General features: G+C 35.1%; 1 protein-coding gene across 22 annotated transcripts in view; it reads right to left on the bottom strand.

Annotated features, from left to right (window-relative positions):
* The window catches only part of SLC4A10 (solute carrier family 4 member 10), a 360855-nt gene extending 346683 nt beyond the window's left edge, over window positions 1–14172 (bottom strand). For all 22 annotated transcript variants that reach the window (NM_001354461.2, NM_001354447.2, NM_001354441.2 and 19 more), the window contains exon 1: window positions 14022–14172. Coding sequence is in view for 11 of the 22 variants with exons in the window: in NM_001178015.2 (NP_001171486.1) it covers window positions 14022–14069 (48 nt within the window). In the remaining 11 variants the exon portion in view is untranslated. The remainder of the gene's footprint in view (window positions 1–14021) is intronic.

The following is a 25010-nucleotide window of genomic DNA, read 5'->3' as shown; positions in this document are numbered from 1 at the left end:
TGAGCAAAAAGAAGAAAACTAGAGGTATCACACTACCTGACTTCAAAATACACTGCAAAACAATAGTAACCAAACTATCATGGTGCTGGTATAAAAACAGACTCATAAATCAATGAAACAGAATAGAAAACCCAGAAACAAATCCACGTATTTACAGCCAAATGATTTTTGACAAAAGCATCATGAGCACATATTGGAAAAAGCCTTGTCAATAAATGATGCTGGGAAAACTATGTCCACATGCATAAGAATGAAACTAGAACCCTATGGATCACCATATACAAAAATCAACTCAAAATGGATTAAATACTTAAATGTAAGACCTGAAACTATAAAACTACTAGAAGAAAACATGTAGAGGAAATGCTTCATGATATTGGTCTGGGCAAGGATTTTCTGGATAAGACCTCAAAAGCACAGGCAACAAAAGCAAAAACAGACAAATGGGATTACATTAAGCTGAAAAGCTTCTGCTCAGTAAAGGAAACAATAAACAGAGCAAAAAGACAACTTAATTGGAGAAAACACTTGCAAACCTTGCATCTGACAAAAGGTAAATATCCAGAATTTATAAGAAACTCAAACAATTAAATAGCAAAAAATTAAATCAGAAACTCAAATAGCAAAAATTAAATCACCTAATTTAAAAATGGGTGAAAGATCTGATTAGGCATTCATCAAAATAAGACATTCAAGTGACTAACTAGCATATGAAAAACTGCTCAACATCACTAACAATCAGGGAAATGCAAATCAAAACCACAATGAGATATCACTCCAGTTAGAGTGGCTATTGTCAAAAAGAGAAAACAAACAAATGCTGGCAAGAATGTGGAGATTTTCTCACAACTGGTGAGAATAAATTTGTATAGCCATTATGGACAATATCCTCAAAAAATTAAAAATAGAACTGTCATATGACCCAACAATCCCACTACTGCCATATATCTAAAGGAAATGAAATCCATATGTTGAAGAGATATTTGTACTCCCATGTTTACACCAACACTATTCACAGTATCCAAGACATGGAGTCAAATTAAGTGTCCATCAATAAATGAGTGGATTTAAAAATGTAAGCCAGATAGGCCGGACACAGTGGCTCACACCTGTAATCACAGCACTTTGGGAAGCCAAAGTGGGCGGATCACCTGAGGTCAGGAGTTCGAGACCAGCCTGGTAAACACGGTAAAAACCTGTCTCTACTAAAAATACAAAAAAAATTACTGGGAGTGGTGGCAGGCACCTGTAGTCCCAGCTACTCGGGAGGCTGAGGCAGGAGAATTGCTTGAACCTGGGAGGTAGAGGTTGCAGTGAGCCAAGAATCATGCTACTGCACTCCAGCCTGGACAACAGAGTGAGACTCTGTCTCTCTCTCTCTCTCTTTCTCTCTCTCTCTCTAGATATATGTATATATGTATATATACGTATATATCTATATACATAAATACGTATTTATGTATATAGATATATATACATAAATACGTATATACGTATATGTATATACGTATTTATGTATATAGATATATACATATATATCTATATACATAAATAATTTTTAAAAAATGTAGGCCGGGTATAGTGATGCACGCCTGTAATCCCAGTGGTTTTGGGAGGCGGAGGCAGGAGGATTGCCTGAGGCTAGTAGTTCAAGACCAGCCTGAGCAACATACTGAGACCCTGTCTCTACAAATAAAAATAAAAATAAAAATAAAAAAATAAAAAAATTAATTAGACAGGCATGGTAGTGCACACTTGTAGTCCTGCCTACTCAAGAGGTCAAGGTGAGAGGACCACTTGAACCCAGGTCCTTGAGGCTGTAGTGAACCATGATTGCACGACTAAACTCCAGCCTGGGTGACAGAGCAAGACCTTGTCTCTTAAAAAAATAAAAAGGTCAGGCGTGGTGGCTGTAATTCCAGCACTTTGGGAGGCCAAGGTGAGTGGAACACCTAAGGTCAGGAGTTCGAGACCAGCCTGGCCAACATGGTGAGATCCCATCTCTACTCAAAATACAAAAAAAATTAGCCAGGTATATGGTGGCGGGCGCCTGTAATCCTAGCTACTCAGCAAGATAAGGCAGGAGAATTGCTTAAACCCAGGAGTTGGAGGTTGCAGTGAGCTGAGACCGTGCCACTGCACTCCAGCCCGGGCAACAAGAATGAAACTCCAACTCAAAAAAGGTGAATAAATAACAAATAATACAAATAAAAATAAAAATGTAATATACACACTCAATAGAGTACTATTCAGCCACAAAAAAGAATGAAATCCTGTCATTCACAACATAGATAAACCTACAGAACATTATGTTAAGTGAAATAAGTCTAGCACAGAAGGACAAATACTGCATGATCTCACTTATACAAGAGGTCTTCAAAAAGTTCACAGAAAATGTGTATGATAAAGAAATTTGCATGAATTTCAAAAAAAATTTGCACCAAAATAAACTCATACTAACTTGTTATAACATGTCTGATGAGTATCTAGAAGCACCTAGAAAGATAAGACATGAGTTTTAAAACAGCCCATATCAGAGCAACACAAATTCTGCTAAAATTGAACCAAGAACAAACATCAAATTTATGATGAAGCCTGAGTGGAAGAATGGTGAAATCATTGATGCTTTATGGAGACAATGCCCAAAATAAATCAGCAGTTCACAAATGGATAACTCATTTTAAGAAGGGAAGAAACAATGTTGAAGCCCACAGTGGCAGACCATTCATATCAATTTTCAAGGGAGAAAATAATCTTGTTTGTGCCCTAACTGGAGAGGACCAGTGATTAACAGCACAAGCAATAGCCAACACCATAGCTATAACCAATACTTCAGCTAACACAATTCTGACTGAAAAATTAAAGTTTAGCAAACTTTCAACTAAAACAGTGCCAAAATCACTGCACCCAAATTACCTGCAGACAAGTGCAGAACTTTCAATTAAAATTTTAAGCAAGTGGAATCAAGATCCTGAAGCATTTCTTTGATGAATTGCAAAAGAGATGAAACATGGCTTTACCAGAATGATCCTGAAGACAAAGCACAATCAAAGCAATGACTACCAAGAGGAGGATATGGTCTAGTCAAAGCAAAAGCAGACCCATTAATAACAAAGGTCATAGCATCGGTTTTTTGAGATGCTAAAGTCATTTTCCTTGTGGACTTTTTGGAGGGCCAAGGAATGACAACATCTGCTTAGTATAAGAGTGTTTTGAGCAAGTTAGCCAAAGCTTTAGCAGAAAAATGCCCAGAAAACCTTCACCAGAGAGTCTTTCTCTACCACAACAATGTTCCTACACATTCCTCTCATCAAACAAGGGCAATTTTGAGGGAGTTTCAATGAGAAATTATTAGGCATCCACCTTAAAGTCCTGATTTGGCTCATTCTAATTTCTTTTTTGTGTGAATCTTAAAAAAAATACATAAAGGGCACTCATTTTTCTTCAGTTATTAATGTAAAAGAGAGACTGCATTGACATGGTTAAATTCCCAAGACCCTTGGTTCTTTAGGGATTAATTAAATGGCTGGTATCATCACTTACAAAAGTGTCTTGAACTTGATAGAGCTTATAATCAGAAATAAAGTTTATATTTTATTTTTATCTTTTAATTACATTTTTCTACAAAACTTTTGAAGTCTCCTTATATATGGAATCTTAAAAAGTTGTTTCTGTAGAAGTAGAGAATAGAATAGTGGTTACTAGAGGCTGGGGAAGGTAGGGAGAAGGGAATGATGGGTAAAGGTTGGTCAATGGGCACCAAGCTACAGTTAGATAGGAGGAATAAGTTCTGGTGTTCTATTGTACAGTACAGTGACTATAGTTAACACATATATTGTATATTTCAAAATAGCTAAAAAGAAGGATTTTGAATGTTTTCATAATAAAGAGATAAGTGTTTGAGGTGATGGATATGTTAATTACCCTTATTTGATTATTATACAACGTATACTTGTATCAAAACATCATATCATACATATTTACAGAACAAATATGTATAATTATTATGTGTCTATTAAAAACCAAATAAAAGTTTTAAAAAGTCATGAGGCAGACACCTCCATAAGTGCTACAGGAAATATTTACCAATGAGTGCTAAAATTAATGTGCAAAAGTTTGAGGAGAAATAGGAAATTCATATAGTCTCAAAGTATCTCCCCAAATATATTATTACAAAGGGAAACTTTTTTGACTTTTCAATGGGAAAAAAACAGAAGATACCTCCATAATCAAAGTTAATGTCACCAGAAGTAAGATATGTATATCCTGATATAAAGAAAGGAAAACGGAACATCACTTCTACAGTATTATTGACAAACAATGCATAACCTCAATCTAACCATGAAAACCTCAAACACAAATTGAGTAATAATCTCCAAAACATTGACCTGTACACTTCAAGAGTGACAAGGTCATGAAAGAAAAAGACTTAATAACTGTCACAAACTGGAGATTAAAGAAATGTGATATCTAAACACAATATGGTACTCTGAATTGTATCCTAGAACAGAAAATGGACATTAGTGAAAACACTGGTGATATTCGAATATGGTAGTTTAGTTAATATAATTGTATCAGTGTTAACTTTCTAGTTTTTAGAAAGTTAAGGCAAGGTGGATGAAAAGGATATGGGAATTCTGTACTATTTTTGCAAGTATTCCATGAGTAAAAATAGAGTCAAAATAAAAAGCTAAAAAATGATAAAATTAGTTTATATTTACTTTTGATGCCTTCCAAATGATCCTAAAAATCAAGTATTAATTTTATTATTAGGAAAAGGATTGTACTGTATTATAATTATCAATTTATATCATTGACATACTTCTATATTACTGTCAAATGGATACATCGAGTTATTGAGTAAGCATTATTGAATCAAGGATTGAATTAATTGTGCATATCAGGTAATGATTTTCATTCAAAAGGAAAACTATTAAGCCAAGAATAAGAATAATAGCTACTATTACTGAGTCATTAGTCTAAATGATATAACACGTATTTTTTTCATTGCTTCTCACAAACCTGGGAGATAGATATATTATTACCATTCCTATTTTGTAGGTAAGAAAAGTAAGACATTGAAAACCTAGATAACTTGCCAAAATTGACACACCTCCTAACTGAAACTTTTAGAATTTTCCAACTCCAATGTCCAAACTCTTAACAATTAATGTCTGCTAGTGTTGCTGCTTAATCTATTACCCATGATATATTTAACAAGGAGTTCCATGCACTTGGTTCTGTGAGAGCAGCACAAAAATTATCTAAAATAAGCTGCTTTCAAGAATCCAGCCACCGATTGAGGCAACAAGTTATATGTATTTGCATTTAAGTAAAATAATTCACATATGGATGCTTCTCAACCTACAATGGAGTTATGCCCTGGTAAACCCACTGTAAACTGAAAATATCATAAGTTGAAAGTGCATCTTCCATATATGGCATTTTCTATTTACAATGGGTTTATCCAGAGGTAACACCATGGAAAGTTGAGTAGTATACTGAATGTCCATAGATTTTGCACCCTGGTAAAGTTGAAAAATCATAAGCAAGCCATCATATATTGAAATCATCAGGATATATATACATGTATATACACAATATTGCAAAGTAATAGGTAATATGCTAAATAAGTAAATAAGCACTTAATTTTCTAGCCCATTATGATTTATTGTTAAAAAGGCTGTTTTATGGCAAAACTTAGTCTCCCAGCATTCTTACGGTTAAAATAATTTAAAAATATATGATGATTTTTCTATTTTGTTGATATTTAAGGCAAAAATTCTCAAGCTTTAATGTACATAAGAATCACCTAGAGGTTTTTTTAAATGCTGGTTTCCTTAGTGCTACCCTTTAATATTCTCAGACTGTAGGCTTAAATAAGGCCTGGAACTTGAATTTTTAACTAGCCCTCCTGACAATTCTGATGCAGGTGGTCCTCAAGAGTAAGGTTTTCAATAATCCCGTTGTTTAGGAAAAAAATACCAAATTTTTATATTTACTATAGGTGTTCTGTCAATTATATATGACATGTTTTTAACAGACATTTATATCATAAAGTTATACTACAAAGTACATGGTTATGCACTAAAATAAATTATATTATACCTTAAGGGTGTGTCTTGCTGCTGTCTCTGTGTTGGGTTTGTTGTGTGTATGTGGTGGGTTTTTTTCTTTTCATTTTTAAACCACATTCATGTATCTGAGAAAATCAGAAGCATTTGGAGAGGTTTATTCCCAGAAAACCTTAAATATCAACAGAAATTCACCACTTTGTGAAAAAAGCTGTATGGATCTAACAATAATGAAATACGCTTCCTAAGCAGAGCTATGTTTTGATCCCATCTGGTAGTTGTTATATACCTACTTTTTATGTCACTTGCTTTCTGAAATTTGACTAGGTCATCATCTTTTATATCAAAGCCTCATTAGTCAAAAGGGGGAAAAAAGACACTAGAAAGAAACAGCCTTCCCTAAATAATTTTGGTTTTCCAGAATTAGCAAGAACAAGTGGAGTTACAAATAAATGTTGGAGGCACTCCAGCAACCTAGCACATTCAATATGCAATGGGAAAATTCTGCCTTAAAAACTTGCTTATTAGATCCTTAGAGCATAATTTTCATGATGAATGAGCAAGTCTTGCTGATGTTGGTACAGGGACTTTGTCATTAATTCAAAACTATATCAAGAGTCTTTGGCTATAATACATCCTCACTCTATCCAACTGAGTTTGTAGATTAATCTCCATTTTCATCTTCTGAGAGCACCTCTCGAGTTCTGAGCTACTTGGAATTCAACATGAATTTGGTATTTAAGCTCAATGTAGGAACCACTATATAAATGGCACTTCTGCAATTTTTGTGTTATTCTTGCTATATTGCATAGAAATTTACACTAAGACAAAACTGCAAAATATTGCCATAAGAAATTAAATATCTAAATACAGTGTGACTCAAGTGAAATAGTTCTCTCTCTCTCTGGTACATAAAATGCACCATATATTCTCTTAACTCAGCTTTGAAGATATATTCCAAGACCTCTAGGTCTGCAAATAACCTGAAACCCTGACCAATCTCAGCATTATCTTGACAAACAGAATCAAATTTGTGGTAAAGAATTTCTTGTGGGGGGAGGAAGTTATTTTTATTTTGTGAATATTTTATTTGCCCTCTTCTTAATTTATATAAATGTAACTGATATAAGCATTTTTTGGATACTCGGCCTTCTCCTTGTTCATGATAATGCTAAACAGTAACTTACTTTTAAAATAATTTTTTGAAATAACGTTTACATAACATAAAATTCACCATTTTACAGTGTGCAATTCATTGGTTTTTAGTATACTCAGAGTGTTGTGTAACCATCACCGCCACGTAATTTCAAAACATTTCCATCACTGCAAAAAGAAACTCTGTACCTATTAGCAGTCACTCCTAACTCTCCCCTACATCCCAGGTCCTGGCAACCCCTAATCTACTTTATGTCTCTAAGGACTTGCCTATTCTAGACATTTCATATAAATGGAATCATGAAATATGTGGGCAAAAAGACCTGACATTTTATAGCACCTTGTATCAGAGTACTTTCATATTTTATTGGAGGGGAAGATGTGAAAGCTCGTTTTATAATGGGATTCTTTTTTATTGTTTAATTAGCGTTAAGGGAGACAAGTTACTTATTAACTAAAAAAATATTTTCAAATCCTAGCTTAGCACTTCTTAGCTATGTGAACTTGGATAATTTATACAAATCTCTGGACCTCAGTTTCTCATCTGCAAGGCTGGAAAACATTAGCAACTTTTCAGGATTATCATGAGGATTACAGATGTTTGTACCTATCATGAGCCTGAGACAATATCTATTATTACTTTACAAACTGCCTAATTTCCATTTTAATTTGGAACTCAGCCGTTGATGCTATGCTAGTAATAGAGACTATATAATAGTGGAAAGAATGATAAATGAATAATCAAGAGATTTGGACTCTAGGCTGAGTTCTGCCATTAACTAGCATCATAAGTAGCATGCCCTTAAATATATCTCTTTATGTCTTTGATGTCCAGTTCCATCATCCGTAAATTAAGGAGCCAGTCTAAAATCTAGACTCCAGTTGATCTCTACAATCCTGTGGTCAAAATATATATGAATCTATCTATTAAAAATAATGGGGTGTCAACAATGAATAACCTTCCAAAACAATCTATGTCAGAAAATAGAAAGGAGGAACACTCCCTAACTCAGTATGTGAGGCCATCACCCTAATACCAAAACCAAACAAAGATATTATAAGAAAAGAAGACTACAAACCAATATCCCTCATAAGCATGAATGCAAAAACTCTCTACAAAATATTACTGAATCAATCCGACAACGTATAAAAAACTGACAACACCAAATGCTGGTAAGTGTGTGGAGCAAGAGGAACTCTCATTCATTGCTCATGAGAATAGCATGTAGTACAGCCACTACTAAAGACAGCTTGGCAGTTTTTAAAAATACTAAATACTCTTATACAATCCAGTAATAACATCCTTAGTATTTACCCAAAGAAATTGAAAACATGTCCACACAAAGATCTGCACATGGATGTTTATACCAGACTTATTCATAAATGCCAAACTTGGAGGAAACCCAGATATTTTTCAGTGGGTATATGGATAAATAAACTGTAGTACATCAAGACAATGAAATATAATTCAGTGATAAACAGAAATGAGATATCAAGTCATGAAAATACATTTAAATGCCTATTACTAAATGAAAGAAGCCAATCTGAAAAGGCTATGTACTGTGATTCCAACTATATAATACTCTAAAAAATGCAAAACTATGAAGAAAGTAAAAAAGTCAGTGGTTACCAGGGGTTAGTGGAAAGGGAGGGATGAATAGGCAGAGCACAGAGGATCTTTAGGGCAGTGAAATGACTCTGTATAATACTATAATGGTGGATACATGTTATTATAAATTTGTTCAAAACTATAGGATGTCCAACACCAAGTCCTAATGCAAACTGTGGACTTTGGGTGATAATGTTTCATCAACTGTAACAAATGTACCACTCTGGTGAGAGATCTTGTTAATGGGGGAGCTATGTATGTGTAAGGGGCAGGGGATATATGGGAAATCTCTGTACCTTCTGCTTAATATTGCTGCGAACCTATATCGCTCTCAAAAATAAGACCCATTAAAATATATATACATATAATTCCATAAAAGATGCAACACACACAAATTATTCCCTTTTTCTAAAAAAAAAAAAAAGTAGTACACCCCAAAGAGTATCTGAGACAACTGTTTGTGGTGCGAGAATATATTAAAACTTCAATCTAAATTTATTTTACCTAAAAATAAAACATAAAACTTAACTAATATTTACTATATAGATTGACAATGGTGTCCTCACAGGAAGTCAAATGATCATTGTCATGTGTCCTATGTGATATGGGAAAGGAAGAGTTGAAGTCTCTCTCACAGAAGGGCTGAGAGTGGCATCCACATTTCTCCATTTACTTGCGGGCCATCGTAATACACTGCAATCTATTCATGCCCAGTTTAGACTTCTGAAGCAACCATCATTCAAGGTTAGAAAGAAATGATATATTGGAAGTATCATTGTATTCTGACCATGCTCTCTGACTGTATTTTGAGTTCCAGACCTTGGCCCAGATATTTTCTAACTCTTCATCATAAACTAGCCCACTTCCTAATCTGATCTCAATATTTTTATCATAAACATAATATTAATAAATAAGTAAACTCAATACTTATAGCCTTCAGATTCTACCACTCATTCCCAACCTTAGCATTTTATACATATATTTTATTTCCATAGTCACTCACCATGCTAGAGTAACAATTCAAATCATGAAAGTAGAAACGGGGATTAATTTCTTATACTGCATTTTGCTTCCTACTGACTACAAGGTGTAGTGAGTATGTTTTCTTTAAACTCAGATTATAATTTAAATTTCAATGCAAATTGAATAGAAAAAACAATATTACTTAGCCATTCCATGTGCTCTTTTTGTTACTTTGACATTTTAGTCCCATTTTTCTTTCCCTGATTTAATTACATTAAAGACTTTTTATAACTTTTTTCCACAAATAAAACAATTCAATAAACTGGGCCACTTGGAAATATGGAATTAGCATTTTCTAAAAGTACTAAATCCAATCATCTATCCTATATCATCAAATTATCTTTTAAAAGTGAACTTTACTGTAGTTTTATACCTTAGGGAAATGTTATGAGTAAGCTCAACTTAAGTCCTTTTTCAGACATCAGAATCTTAGAAGGGATCCAAAGTAGACTCACTGTAGATCACCCAAGATTAAACGTCATGAGATATAAATATAAGTTATATATTCTTCTGGAAGCTTCTTCCATGGCCTGATAATTTTTAAATTGTTAGGTTACTCCTAAAAGCAAATTCAACATTGAATATCAAAGGAAAATGTGAAATCATAATGCAATCCTAAATATCAGGCTTCATACTTTTAAAAGGCTAATTCCATTCTTACTAAAATGATATCACCATTATTACTGTTACATATATTCTCCATATATATCCATATCAAAAAGGTTATAACAATTATTAAATATTTTGAAGAGAAAGCAGCAGTCTCTTAAAAAGTTAAATCGAGTCCTATTTCTAGTCTAGCTGGAGTGTGAGGTTTCACATATATAGGGTGTTTGCCTGCCTTATTTATTGCTGCATCTCCAGCACCAAGAATGTGTTTGGCCAACAGTAGGCACTTAAGAGAACACATCTTTCTGACACACTTTTTCTGTAACTTCAGACATAGCAGTCAGTTGTTACCAAAACCAGACTATACACTTAGCCAACAAGAGTGAACGCCCTAACCCTTGGAGTGATTAGAGTCTACAAAATGCAATGATGGCTTGTCCAGCAAAAGGAAATTATCACTGAAGCTTCCTAAGAAGGACTGGGAAAAAAAGAGAAACATATCTAGGCCTCCTCTGCCCGTATCCTTCAAATGTACTTTATATATACTATACTAAATGGAGGTAAACCCTGGGAGGCTTAATGAGAATCTGTTCCTCCATTTCACTTGAGTCAGGATTAATACATTCACTCATTTGACATACTTATCTATTCTTATTTTCCTTTCTCTTTCACTTCCCTATCTTTCTACCTCTGACTGCTTCTGTCCCATATCTAATCTTGGCTTTTAATGCCTGTCCAATTGGCTCTCCAAGCATACTGCAAAGTTTTCATAATTATAACTAAAAAACGCCACCTCCCACCTCCACTATGAAGAGTCTTTTCCAGTTCTCCATTTTCCATTTTTCCTTCTTGGTAGAAAGTACTGACAAGCCACTTCTCATAAAAACCTGAAACCTATACATCCTCTCAATATCTACTTTGAGATGAATATAGCAATAATATATTCATTTTACAGCAACATTGACAATGATAATAGCAAGTTTTATTGAACACTTACTAAATGTCAGGAACTTCATATAAGTTATTTAACTGATTCCAAAACTCAAGAGATATATAATAACATTCCCTTTTCATTTTTCAGTTGAAGAAACTGTAACTTATAACTTTCCCAATATCATATAACAAATAAATAGCAGTGTTTGGCCTTGACTGAGTTCTAAATATTATGCTATATTGCCTCTCACAAAATTATTTGCAAAGTCGTCTGATTAATTTTCTAAAACAGAGCCCAGAGCTCTCTTCCAAGCGTAAAAACTTCAGCCCAGGAACTGATCATGTTAAGCTTGGTTAAGAATGTAATGTAAAAAATATTGAATTTTTAAAACAATTTCTGAACTAGTTTTAGATGACCTAAATTCTAGTCCTGGTTTCATCACTGGGTGATCTTAGACATGTTATTCAGACTCCCTGTGCCTCAATTTCTCACCTTGAAAATGAAAATAATAAAATCTGCTTTACATAACATGTTTGTTTTGAAAATTAAACAAAAAAGGTTTTCATAAAAGCAACTGGGGGAGTTGCTATACAAGTATAAAACTGGACCAGTAATTCAGCATCCTCTCTAGCCCCTCAGGCTTGTTTTTCTTGTGATGATCTGCTAATATGATTCCCTCTTACCATTAAACTGTCACTATTTTGTACTGACCATTAACCCCATGACATGCAAACTTTTGACTCTGGCCTTCAAAAATTTCCATCAGATGTATTGTAGACCTTCTTTTCAGGAAAGACTTGTATTTTCTCTGCTCTTTTAAGCTATAAATTGGTTGCCCATCTAGCCCAGTAATGTCATCCTCTTTTAAATTCCTCTAGTTAATCCTCATTTGGTCCTAAACCCTTTAACTGTTCCCCACAAGTGACAATCCATAAGCCACATCAAACTGGCTTTAGCCTGCTTTTCTAGGACAGGTTCCAACACCCCACCCCACCCCCACTGCCAGCCAAAAAAAGGGTTGGGGGTTTCCCTAAACCTTCCCTAATCCCCATACCACGATTCCTGTGTATAGTTCCCGTCTCTCATCCAGGGAAGAAGAGTTCCCTGGTATTCTTAACAGTATTTATTCTGAGTACTAACAGAATCCTAATTTATGTATTTGTTCAAGTTTGGGAAGATAGACAAATCTTTTACACGTATTTTTTTATAACTCCACTTTGATGCCACAAAGAAATATCTCTATTTTTAGGCAGACAGGGTAATTGACAAACTTCTTTCTCCTGTTCCCTTTCTCCCGGCCCCCTACCCCGACACTGCCCCTGTCCTCTGTTGAGACTCTATTCTTGGTGGTAACTCCTTGCATTCTTCCCATCACTCTGCTCCCTCCCTGCTCAAACCTGGCGTCCGCAGGAGAACTGGGCATGCTCAGTCGCCACAGTTGATTCCGGGGATGCAAACTGGAATCTTTTTGCAGCATGTGAGCCCGGCAGGAGAGGTAAGGCCCTGAAAATACTGTGGCCCAGAATTTGCCCACTCCTCCTACGGAAGCATTTTGTTGAAAACCTAGGAATGGACTCGGAAATGGACAGCTCACCGCCAGTCCCTTCCGCGCAAGGTGGGTCACCAACCTTAGTAACAGGGAGCTGAGAAACAGCCCCTCCGTCTGGTTTGGTGCAGGGAGGGGATTTCTGCTGTGGTAGCACTGATAGATGGCTGGAAGCTATGACTGTCATCTCTGTTGCATCAAGAAAATACTGGGTTTTTTTTTTCTTTTTTCCTTAAACACAGAAACAGCAGCTGCTCCAGACAGAAAAAGATGTTGCCTGAAGATCTCCAAAGTCTGCGAGCCAGACAGAGAGATTGTGGAGAGGATAGGCAAATCCATCACTTACACAAAAATTAAATGTAGGGAAACAGCTTAAGAACCCAGAGGTAAACAGATGGGCTATTACCAAATGACAGTTCAGAAACCTTTCTAATATTCACATCTGAATTGTGTGCCTGTCCCCCAAAAATGCATACCTTCTTTGTACAAAAACCATGACACATTTGCCTTTGAGAAAGAGACAGAACACACACACACACACACACACACACACACACACACACACACACACGATCCTTCTGTTCTTTCCCCTGGTTTCTGTAGAGACTAAATCTCTAGAGCTGCAACAGCAGCAGATTCCCTCACCTCACTGCCTGGGGATGAGGCAGGGGGAGGAAATTCGATAGGGATTAAACATGATAAAAGGGGGCTTCTCTGCAAGGGCTTAAACCAGCACACAGCCTGAGAATCAGAGAGATAAGCAGTAACAGGCAGGCAGAGAGACACGTAACTGCCCCTGCTGCTAAAACCTAGCCATTTCTTCAAACAGCAGCAAACATGAGACATTTCATCACCGTAGTGCATCCATATTGAGAAGGGGGGGGGAGGAGAATCGTGTGCTTTGCTTTATGCATTTCAGTCTCCCAAGATGGGAGGAGACCCCTGTCCATATGTCGTAGGAGCTATCCACCACCCCAAAAGTACACTCGCTGCACCTAGCTAGCAGACCGCTTGCCTAACAGGTTTTGCAGCAAACGCGGTTAATCTATGTGATAGCAGGTTGTCTCTTACCGTAGGCAGCAGCGGCTCCATTTGGGCTCCCTGGTCTTTAATCTCCATGTTTTGTAACGCCTCTGGAATAAGCACCTTGCTCTGCAGTGTCTTCAGTGTCTTACACTCAGCCCGGCACTCGCTCTGCTTAGTATTCGGATCAGGTAGCTCTGAAGCAGGAGGCAATTGCACACTCCAACTCACCAGAGTCACATGGCTCCTACTCACTCGGGCTGCTGGCCAGGTTTTGCACTGAATGCCTTGGATCCCTGGGCCGGTAAGAGAGATCCCCCAAGCCCTGTATCACTGCCCACACCTGGCTACTAGTATAAAATACAGCAAGCAATGCTACAAGTCTAATGGGCATTAAAAATCTCACCTAAGATGCTCACTTTTCATATAGACTAGTCCAAGTTGGCCTCCAACCAGATCAGTCTGATTTTGACACTTTGAGGTACTCGCTTCATTCTCAGAACCCTATAGGAGACATAATTCAAGCAAGATGATGTAAATAAGGTTTACTAGGTGTTCCGCTCTGAGTACCTGGGGGCTTTTAAAACAGATAAGATGACTTTAATATTAGCATGTCTTAGTGAGGCTGAACTATTCACCACCAACGACAACAAAATCAAGCATTTAAGTCACTGTTGACTCAGTAAGGATTGGACAGATATTTGCAGTATTTTAAAAGTGAAAAACTTAGGTAAGTCACACATTATTAAAAATAAAGTATATGTTTTTCTATGATTTCCCAACAAAAATGACAGAAAGAAAATATTTTGATAGTAGGAATGATCAGGATACTAAAGCACTTTGAAAAGACAATGAATCTGACAAGAATAGCCCAAGCATATATCCCTTTGCCTAAAAGTCTCAACAAAATAGGGGTAGGGGATTATTTAAATAATCCACAGAAGAAAAGACATGCTCTTTTGTAGGAAGAAGTAGTTGGTGAGGATCATCAAGTGACTACACATATTTCCTAAAACTGATTATAGATCTAGAGTATTTTAAGTAATGAAGCCCATATATCACTGAACTCCAGACTAAGTGTATGGAGGTTACAAATGAAGAGTAATAAAGAACTTTCAGGGATTAAAAGAGGGTGACTAAAAATTATTAACATAGTTTGTCTTAAATAAGAATAATTTTACCAGATTCTAAAACCTTTAATAAGCAGGAATGAATATTAAATTATTTTAAGCAATACACCAAAATTTTCCATAATGCTCATTGCAGGTAGAATTATCGATAACTTTTATCTGCTTTCCTTCTCAATACAATTCTTTACAACAAGCTTTTATTATTTTTATAAGAAAACATTTATTTTAAAACCCTAATGATTAATATATTTAAGTGGCTACTTTCTGCATAGCATACTGAGTTGATACCAAGGGTTTAAATAACAAGATATCTGACTGGGAATTTACTGATATTGGGGTCAATTTGATTTTCTACCACAGACTGATGAATAAAAGCTACCTTCTCATTCAAATGACCATAATCAACAATCACAAACAATTTGTTATAATAAAAATAATAACTTCACTTTAGAAAGATTGTTTCTATCCCATTGAGAAGCCTATGTTGTTCCACTGACATTTCTTCAAAGTTAATTTAAATATAACTAAGAAAAAGTCTGGCCCTTAATTCCAAAAGCCAAAATAAAAGTAAAATTGTATTTAAAATTACTTTTTATCAATATTTTCTTAAAATGTATATTATTAAACTACAAAGGTACTTTTCTGGAACAACCATTGCTTGAGTGCTTACGATATGACAGAGCTACTATTTCTGCCAATATAATAGGACTCAGCCAGGGTTGCAACAGCAGACAGTCTACTTCTAAAGATCAAGAAAGCCTATGTATCTAAAGTTCTCTGATCCAAGATGTCAAATACTAGCCTAGCACAACAAAGTGGAGAAAATGATCCTCATTTAATCTGCTACCTATCTAATAGAATATACGAAAATTAATGCCAATGACCTGACAGAATACATCCACATACTAAATAAGTCCCAATGAAGAAGATATGTATAAAACTAATAACTCCTAGGAAGAAAACCATCAGTAGGTAGTGGAATTTTTACTAACAAAATCATAGAATTTTACAGCTCAACTTCTCCATTGATTTTCAAATTCAGAAAGTGAAGAGAAACAGATGGGAACAGGAAATACAAATTGCATGAACAACTTTTTCTCAACTACATATTACCTGCCTTGGAGATTCTGATATGTCCTTGGTGGGGGTGAGGAGAAGAAGTAGGTGAGGATATACTTTTTGAAAAATACTCCCAGGTAAATTTTATATTTCTGCCAGTCTGGAGATCTTTCCACTACAGTAAAGTTTCCTTGGATCTGAGATTATAAAAATAGGTTCCTGTTTAGCCTGCTCCTATTTAGAAATCCAATGAGATTCTATTAGTACAATTTGACAGCAATGATTTCAATCATCACATTAAAGTATTGCAAGACTGAATTTATCCAAGGAACTAAATGTTCCAGACACCCTACTGGAATGAGACAATAGTCTGATTTTCACTCAGTCAGTCCTACTATGTGTGAAGTACTATGCTACTTCCTGTCATGCACAGCAATATTAAAGTGGAATTTTCCTCTCTGAAGAATGAAATAAAAGTAGGGATCGGCCACAAGCCAACTGTATAGACAGAGGAATAACAGAAAGTACTAAACAGAAGAGCCACCTTCCTGTCCAGCTGCCCATGTTGTGACCAGTAGGAAAGGAATACAGCCACCATGGTGTGCTTCCTTCCTTGATCTCTCCTGTATCTTCGGACTCTTGCTGACCTCAAATTTTACTAATCCCTTAAGTAAGCAAATCAGCGTGGATTCAATGTACTTTCAGTTCCTACCTCCTTTTGCTATTTTAAGCCCCTGGTGTTAAGATATGCACATTAATATAATTTTTATCTTAGAGAAAAGACCATCTAGTATTGATTGTATTGGAAGAAAACACTGGATTCTAAAGGTATTGCCAACACTGATATTTCAAGAAAACACTTTCAGTCCTGGTGGTATTGAGTTTCTGGCTTAGCTCTCAAAGTTCTTTGCTTTGGCCCTTTTTAACATAAAATAACTAAATTTTAGGTTGCATTGAGTTCAGAAATATAGTCTGAACAGTAATACTATGTTAGTGGTAATATTACCAGTTCAAGAATGATATTTCAAAAAATTACTATTTTTCACATACGAAAATGCATATATTTACGTCATTTATTTATGTTTCATTCCTTTGTATCTCTTATCCCTTGAGACCTATACAAATGTTCTCAACAACTTAAAGCATTATTATGAAGATTTGTCAAATACAGTTGACCCTTGCCAAATACAGTTGACTAAAGTTTGTATTAAAACTACTAGTAATGGAGGGGTTAGAGGGACCAATCCTCTGAGCAGTTGAAAATCTGTGTATAACTTTTGACTACCCCCAAACTTAACTACAATACTGTTGACCGGAAGCCTTAATAATAACAGAAATAGTCAATTAACAGATATTTTATATGTTATATGTTTTATATACTTACAATAAAGTAAGCTAGAAAAAAGAAAGTGTTAAGCAAATCATAAAGAAGAGAAAATATACTTACTGTTCGTTAAGTGAAAGTGGATCATCATAAAGTCCTCATCCTCATCATCTTCACTTTGAATAGGCTGAGGAAGAGAAGGAAGAGGAAGATTGGTCTTGCTGTCTCAGGGGTGGCAGAGGTAGAAGAAAATCTACATATAAGTGGATCCATGCAGCTCAAACCTCTGTTGTTCAAGGGTCAGTACAAAAGTATTTTGTTGAATTTGACCAACCCAAGAAATACCAAAAATGCTTTCTTGACAGCTTAAAAATGGTGGCACTTAACCATTAAGAAAAAGGGTAAGAATGCCCATTCTAAAACCTGGCATATCATAAGGAACTTCTTTGTATAATACTAAAATTTAAAGGTGTCAAATGACACTACGTTTTTACAGATGTTCTTGGACTCCAACCCCATAGTGACTCCAGTCATCAACTATGAAAAGGAATATATAAAATAAGTAATTAGGGCGCCCATTCCAACATTGGGCTAATGTCCACATTTAAAAAACTCTCTTAGTCCCACTTCTCTTAGTTCATGACTGGTTTTTCCACTTCTGAAGATTGGAACAAAGACCTGATTTTCACTCTTTGTCCCAATTGCCTCCTACAGGGAAACTCATAGAAGGCCTACTATCTAGACTGAGTTCTAGAGGGCAGCACCTTAATTTAATTTAACTCAATTCAATAAAAATTTGAGTACCTACCATGTGCTAGCAACTATACAGAAACAAATAATAAGACATAGCCCCTGGACTCAAAGAGATAATTTAGAAGAGAACAAAGATAACATCATTCAGCAAAGTGCTATTTAAATTTTAAAAAATTCTGCAAAAATCAGAGGTAGACCAGAAGACAAAATGACTAACTTTTAATAGCATTTTTCTCACCCTTACCCCAGAGATTTAAAATCCTTAGGGGACTTGTTTCTATGGAAAGACCTAATTTTCCTTTGCTTGTTATATAAACAAGAAATATATGCATGCCTCAACTTATTACTTCTCCAATTATCAGCCTTTAAGCCTAATTATCACTGCCTTTATTAAATGATCCTGAATGTATCATTTCTATCCCTAACTTGAAAATAATCAATATCACACTTACAGAGTTAATCTTGTATCTAATCCTTAACGTGTCCTTTTGTATCCCAAGTTATGAAGAATTACGCTAAAATAATCATTATTCACAGTGTTCTATGTGTAAATTTTAGTATACATTCTCAAATGACAACAAACAAGAAAAATCTTTGTGTTTATTATTGAGTTTGCACTCTGTCTGTCAAAGAAAGATGGCAAATGTCATATAGGAAAAATATAAGAAAAAATCAAAATGTACCTATAGCAATTTCTCAGCTTCATCATAAGCAACCAAACTATTAGTGAACAAAGAGTGTTCAGATGCATTTTACATGGTCTTATATTACCTAAGAACCTGAATTTTTTTCATTTTGCCGAAATTTTCAGATTCTTCCACAATTCACATGTGTTTACATATTATTTATGTAAAGGGCTTTTTTTCCTAACAGAGAAAAAATCTTATCTGAAGCTGTAATTTGGGCAAAACATAAAATAATCTTATGTAGACCTTTTTTTAATTAGTCAATTTAACAAAGATTAAGCACAGATTTTGTACTATGTGATAGTACAAAGATAAATAAAATAGGATCCCCGACTCTCTAGAATAGGAAACAGGTGATTATTTCAATGTACTGTGGTGATAAGACAATGAGCTGTCCAAAATATTAAAGGAGTATCAAATAGGGACATAATCCCAACTAATGAGTTTGTAAATCAGGGAGATGAAACATAAACTAAAGGATGAGTAATGGCAAACCCAAGTGAAAAAGCCCTTTCATTATGGAAACTTTTCAAAATTCAGAGCAGTATAAAGATGCAAATGACAGTCATTCATAATCCCACCAACCAGAGATGGTCACTGTTAACATTTCAGCATGTTTCATTATAGACTTCTTTTAACAATTCTGGGAGTGGGGAATGATATTCTTTTATATTTATTATTTCCATCACATTTAAAGCAATGGAATTATGTTGCATATAGGAAATGAAAGTCCTTACTAGAAAAATATGATACCCAAATAACCTCTTAGATTTGATCCTTTATTACTATACGAATATGTCTATCCTACTTCTCCCAGCCTGCATCAGGAATGAGAGAAACTTTCAAACCCTCTAATCAGGAATGGGACACAAGTTGTCTTTTCTTTCAAATTCTGTAAACCTAACTGAATTACCTGTTATTTTCTCTCTTCCAAAACCCAAACTAGGGCTCAGTTAGTGGAAAAAGCACATAGCCCTTTCTTAAGGTTACACATTGACACATGAAGTTCTTACTACTTCCAATTCTTCCTTTCCTCCATTCTGGAGAATCTTTTGATATGGACAGCCTGGCTCTTCATCTTTTCTCACAATGCTATCATTTGGAAACTGTGTCCAACTAGATTAAGGCTTCTGAAACTTAAAGCCAGATTGTCTGCTGCATCCATTCAGGATGGATACATCCTGAAATATGAAAAACCAATGACTAAATGAAGAAATACAAGGCACTTAAATAAATGTATGGGGAAACTTAATTAAGATTTTAAAAATATTATCTTAATTCAATATTAATAAAATAGTAAAAAACAAAATAACTGAAATTTGCTTTTATTTCTCTGAGAAAATTGATTTCCATATGTGTTTGAATTAAATGATACTTTTCAGAAACATAATCTCATACATCCAGGAAGATGCACAAAAACTTGTTTATTCATTTGATATATATTTACTGAATACCTCCTATGGGCTCAGTACTATGCAAGGCACTAGAAAGGCAAAGTCCCTGCCCCAGGGATCTGATAGTCTGGAAGGGAGACAAACAATCAGACATGTCCAAGACATATACCTTAAATATGACAGGTATGTGACAGAAATAGAAGGGGCACCTGTTCCAGACTAGGGTGGAGGTATAAAGATATAAAATGGATTATAGGGAAGAATAAAAGTATTCCAGAAAGGAAGAATAGCATGTTCAAGAACTATAAAAAGTTGTCTGTAACTGAAACACTGGATATATCAAAGGATGTGGCAGGAAAGAAGGATGAACATGAGGGCAAGGACCAGATTACAAAATTCCGTATTTGCCATACTCAGGAGATTGGTTTTATTTTATAGGGGATATTAGAGAAGACTTCCCAATGGACATCATATCTGAGATAAACTTTAAAACATACAGAAGAGTTTATCAGAATAACCTGAGGTGTTTTAGAATAACCTTAGATGCTTCTGAAAATTTTTTATTCCTAGGTCCCATATCCAAAGATCCTAACCTAGTAAATTGGGGTGAGGATAAGGATTCTGTATTTTTCACAAGATATTCTGATAGAAGTGCCTATGCATCACCTATTCCAAATTTGATATACATATTTTCCATTCTCTAACTACAACTCTTCCTCAAAAGAAAAACACACACACTTGGCTTAAATATTTACAATTATTTAGAAGAAAACATGTAACACTATATTAGGATTATTAGGACAATGTGCCATCCACTGTTTAAAAATGAAACCTACCATTTACTTAGTGTTTATTACATGTCAGGTATGTGCCAAATCTTTTATATAATTATTTAATTTACCACTCATATCAACCCTGAGAAGTATGCATTTTACCTCCATTTATATATGAAGAAACTGAAGCTGAGTGAAGTTAAATAACTTGCTGAACTTCACACAGCTATAAGCAGCAGAAATCCCAACCCAGGCTATCTGCCTCCAACGCACTTACTTTTTGCATCATGCTATAACTGATCTCTAACTTGTAAAGGTTGCCAGTGAAATGTTTTCTCCAATTCTAATTACCACAAAGAAGAATAAGAACACCAGATCCAAACTCAGTGTTGGTACTATGGCCAGACATTTTTAAAAGAATGAAACTTGTCAAGCCAGAAATAAAGTATTTCTATCAACAATGATTCATGTAAATGCTGCCTCATGTTTAGGCTTCTTCCAGCTCATTCAGAAAACACTGAGGAAGATGCATAGGATCCCATTTCTTAACAGAAAATAATTGGGCTGATAACTACTGTGTCAGGGTGAGAAATCCTACGGTGGTAATCTCCTGAGCCAGGTGGTTTTAGTCTTTCTTTGGCCAAATAAGACATAACACTGCTTTCTCCAAGTCTGCCACTGTCTCTCCTTCAGAGAAGACAATTCACAAAATTCCAATAAACTCTGACTTAGTGTAAAAGATAGTACTTGGAAGTGGAAAAAGACAAACATTTATTTAATAGTTCATATGATAACTACTGTAATAAATGTATAAAATGGATTATAGGGAAGAATAGAAGTATTCCGGAAAGGAAGAATAGCTTGCTCAAGAACTATAAAAAGTTGTCTATAACTGAAACACTGGATATATCAAAGGATGTGGCAGGAATGAAGGATGAACATGAGGGCAAGGACCAGATTACAAAATTCCGTATTTGCCATACTCAGGAGATTGGCTTTATTTTATAGGTGATAGGGAAGTTCTTTAAAGATCTTAAACAGTTAGAAAGGTCACTTAAGCTATAACATGAAAAATGTTGGGGCAAGGTAGGTGACAGGGAGACTAGTTAGTAAGCTAATAAAAGAGGACAAAAGCCTGAGCTATGAAGCTGTAGTGAGGAGGGATAAAAGGAAATGGTCCCAAGAGATATAGGAGGAAAAGTAGATGTGAATTGCTGACTATTCAGATGCAGTGAATGAGGAAGAGAAATATGTCTAGGTTTTTGGCTTGATGGATAGTGGTGCTGTTAAACAATACACACAAATAAAAAAAAAAACAGTAAAAGAAGCAATTTGAGAGAACACCTGAAGAATTATATTTTAAAAGTAATCACAGTGGTTAAGAACATAGGCTTTGCACTCAGAAATATCACTTAATATCCATGTGACCTTGGGCAAGTCACAAGGATATTAAGTGACTCCTGAAGACTGTTTCTTTATCTATAAAACTAAGATAATAAAAGAACCAACTTAGAATTGTTCTGATGGTTAAATCAACTAATGCAAATAAAGCATTTAGAATACTGCCTAGCAAAATGGTAATCCCTCAACAAATTGTGGCTATTATCATTGTTTAATTGAGATTGAGAAGGCTAGAATGTCCAAATGCAGATTGTCAGAAAAGAGTTGGAAATACGGATTTGGGACCAGGAGAAATTCTAAGTATGGATGGTGTTTCTTTAAGAGGTTATATAGAGTTAGAATAACACAATGATGGATTTCTAAGGAAACACCAACATTAAAAGGATTTCTGACTTTGTATTGATGCACTAATTATCCCAAATTTTGGTTTCAACCATTCTTGGGTCACAGTTTGTGAGTCTAAAAATATTTTTTCCAATAAATCAAACGTCCAAACCCTTTATAAGTATTCTTACAACCTATTCTTATGATTTTTATTTGTATAAATCTATGTTAATGTACTATTGTCTATTTCAATTTTCCTAGAAAACTGCCATATCCTTTAGAGCAAGACTCAATAGGGCTATATATGTACTAAAATACTTCTTTACTGACACAAATATCATCCACATATTATGAGGAGCTATTCATGATTTCTATGTTCATGTACAATTTTGACTCCTGTTGAAGAGCTATTGGGACTCACTGGCAGTGTTAGCTCCAGGAAAACAAAATGTGACAAAAAGTGGGTTTGGAAGAAGCCTTTGTCCTTTGGCATCTGTCTGATGGCACTGCTTGCCACAATCTCAGTCAGGATTCTCCTACATGCTAATCTAATAGTCTACTTCTTAGCATTAAGGTTCTCATTCATTTAAATTGTCAAAAGGGGCTTCTCTTGGTAATATTTCCTTTCCACTTTAAAGATATTAAGAGAGAACAACAGAGCTTTCTCAAGAAATTCAATACTTTTAAGGCCTAAAGCAGGGGTAATCACAAAGATAGGTCTACTAGCCCTCAAAAAATATAATTCAGCAAAAGAGACACAGAATAATATAGAAAAAATGAGGAACAGCTGAGTTAACAAGTGAGCAGTTATCATACCCCAATATGTCACTGCTCCACTTGACTCTGGTGTCTATAGAAGAATTTGTAAGATCAAGAGCTCAGTCTGTGCTATGGCATTCCAAAACAATTCTCACATTAATAAAAAGGAAGATCTAAAACTGAAATGTGCTATTTAATCTAAGTAAATTAAAATCACACAAAGCAAGAAAGAGTGATTGTAAGATTAATACTTTATTGTTTTAATATGTCATTTTTATTTTAAAATTACAGTTGAATCTAAAAGCATGATATTCTCCCCCAGTAAACCAGGTCTATAGAAAGCAAACCTATTCAGACTATTACTGACTCAATGAAAAAAATTATCCTCATTAAAATAAAATTTATTTTTATTCAAAAAATTATTATTTAAGCACTTTTTATGTGCCAGATACTTCATACTCACTGTCCTGGGAACTGGGGATATAGTAGGGAAATAAAACATTCAAAAATACTAGTTGGAGGAAGGGAAATGAGGCAGTCAAAGAATAAATAGGCATATGAGCAAAACATATAACATGTGAGATGATGATAAGTGCAATGAAGAAATACAAGGTAAGAAAGGAGAAAAAGGAGGGTCCCTACTTCCGATGTTAATTAAGGTAGCCAGAGAAAAACTTGCTGTGGTGACATCTGAGTAAAGATCTGAGGGAAGTGAAGTAGTGGGCAATGAAGCTATATGGTTGAATCAGTTTTCCAGACAAGGAGAACAAGTAAGAATAGACAGAGCAGAGTAAGGGAGGAAGCAGAGAAACCAGTAAAAAGCAAGAAATGGTAAAGACCTGAAGCAGGTGAGAAATGGTAGAATTGTGGATGTGTTTCTGCAGGTACAGCCAACCGTATTTGCTGAAGGATGCAATGTGGGATAAAGGAGAAAAAGAGAAATCAAGGATGATGCCAAGGTTTTTGGTCTGAGAAAGTTGAAGGATGGCATTTCCATTGCCTGAGACAGATGAGTACTGAGAACTTATATGTAGAAACAAAAAAGTTGTTGTGGACTTTCACAAGAGCAGTTCAACAGAGTGAGAGAGGACAATTTAAGAAACAATAGGATGAGAGAAATTGGAGTATCAACAATTGTACTCCAGAAGATTGGAAAAGAGGAACAAAGAATTAGGGCAGGAGGTAGAGGGAGAAATGGGCTCAGAAAAAGAAATTAGTTATTGTTTACTTTGCAATCTACACAAGTAAAATGAAAATATGTAGATTATCTTGTTTTCTCAGGTTGTTTCACCATATCCTATTTGTGTTTCTTTTTACTTCCCTGTGAATAGCAAGTTAATATAACAATTACTATTGGACTCATTCAAGTCAAATTACAACAGCATAACAATAATGTCTCAAAATACTTCAAGAACATGTACAAAATAAACAGCA

The sequence above is a fragment of the Homo sapiens genome, chromosome 2 (genome assembly GCF_000001405.40).
Source record: "Homo sapiens chromosome 2, GRCh38.p14 Primary Assembly".
Classification (NCBI taxonomy): Eukaryota; Metazoa; Chordata; class Mammalia; order Primates; family Hominidae; genus Homo; species Homo sapiens.
This window is presented reverse-complemented; position numbering and strand designations above follow the sequence as displayed.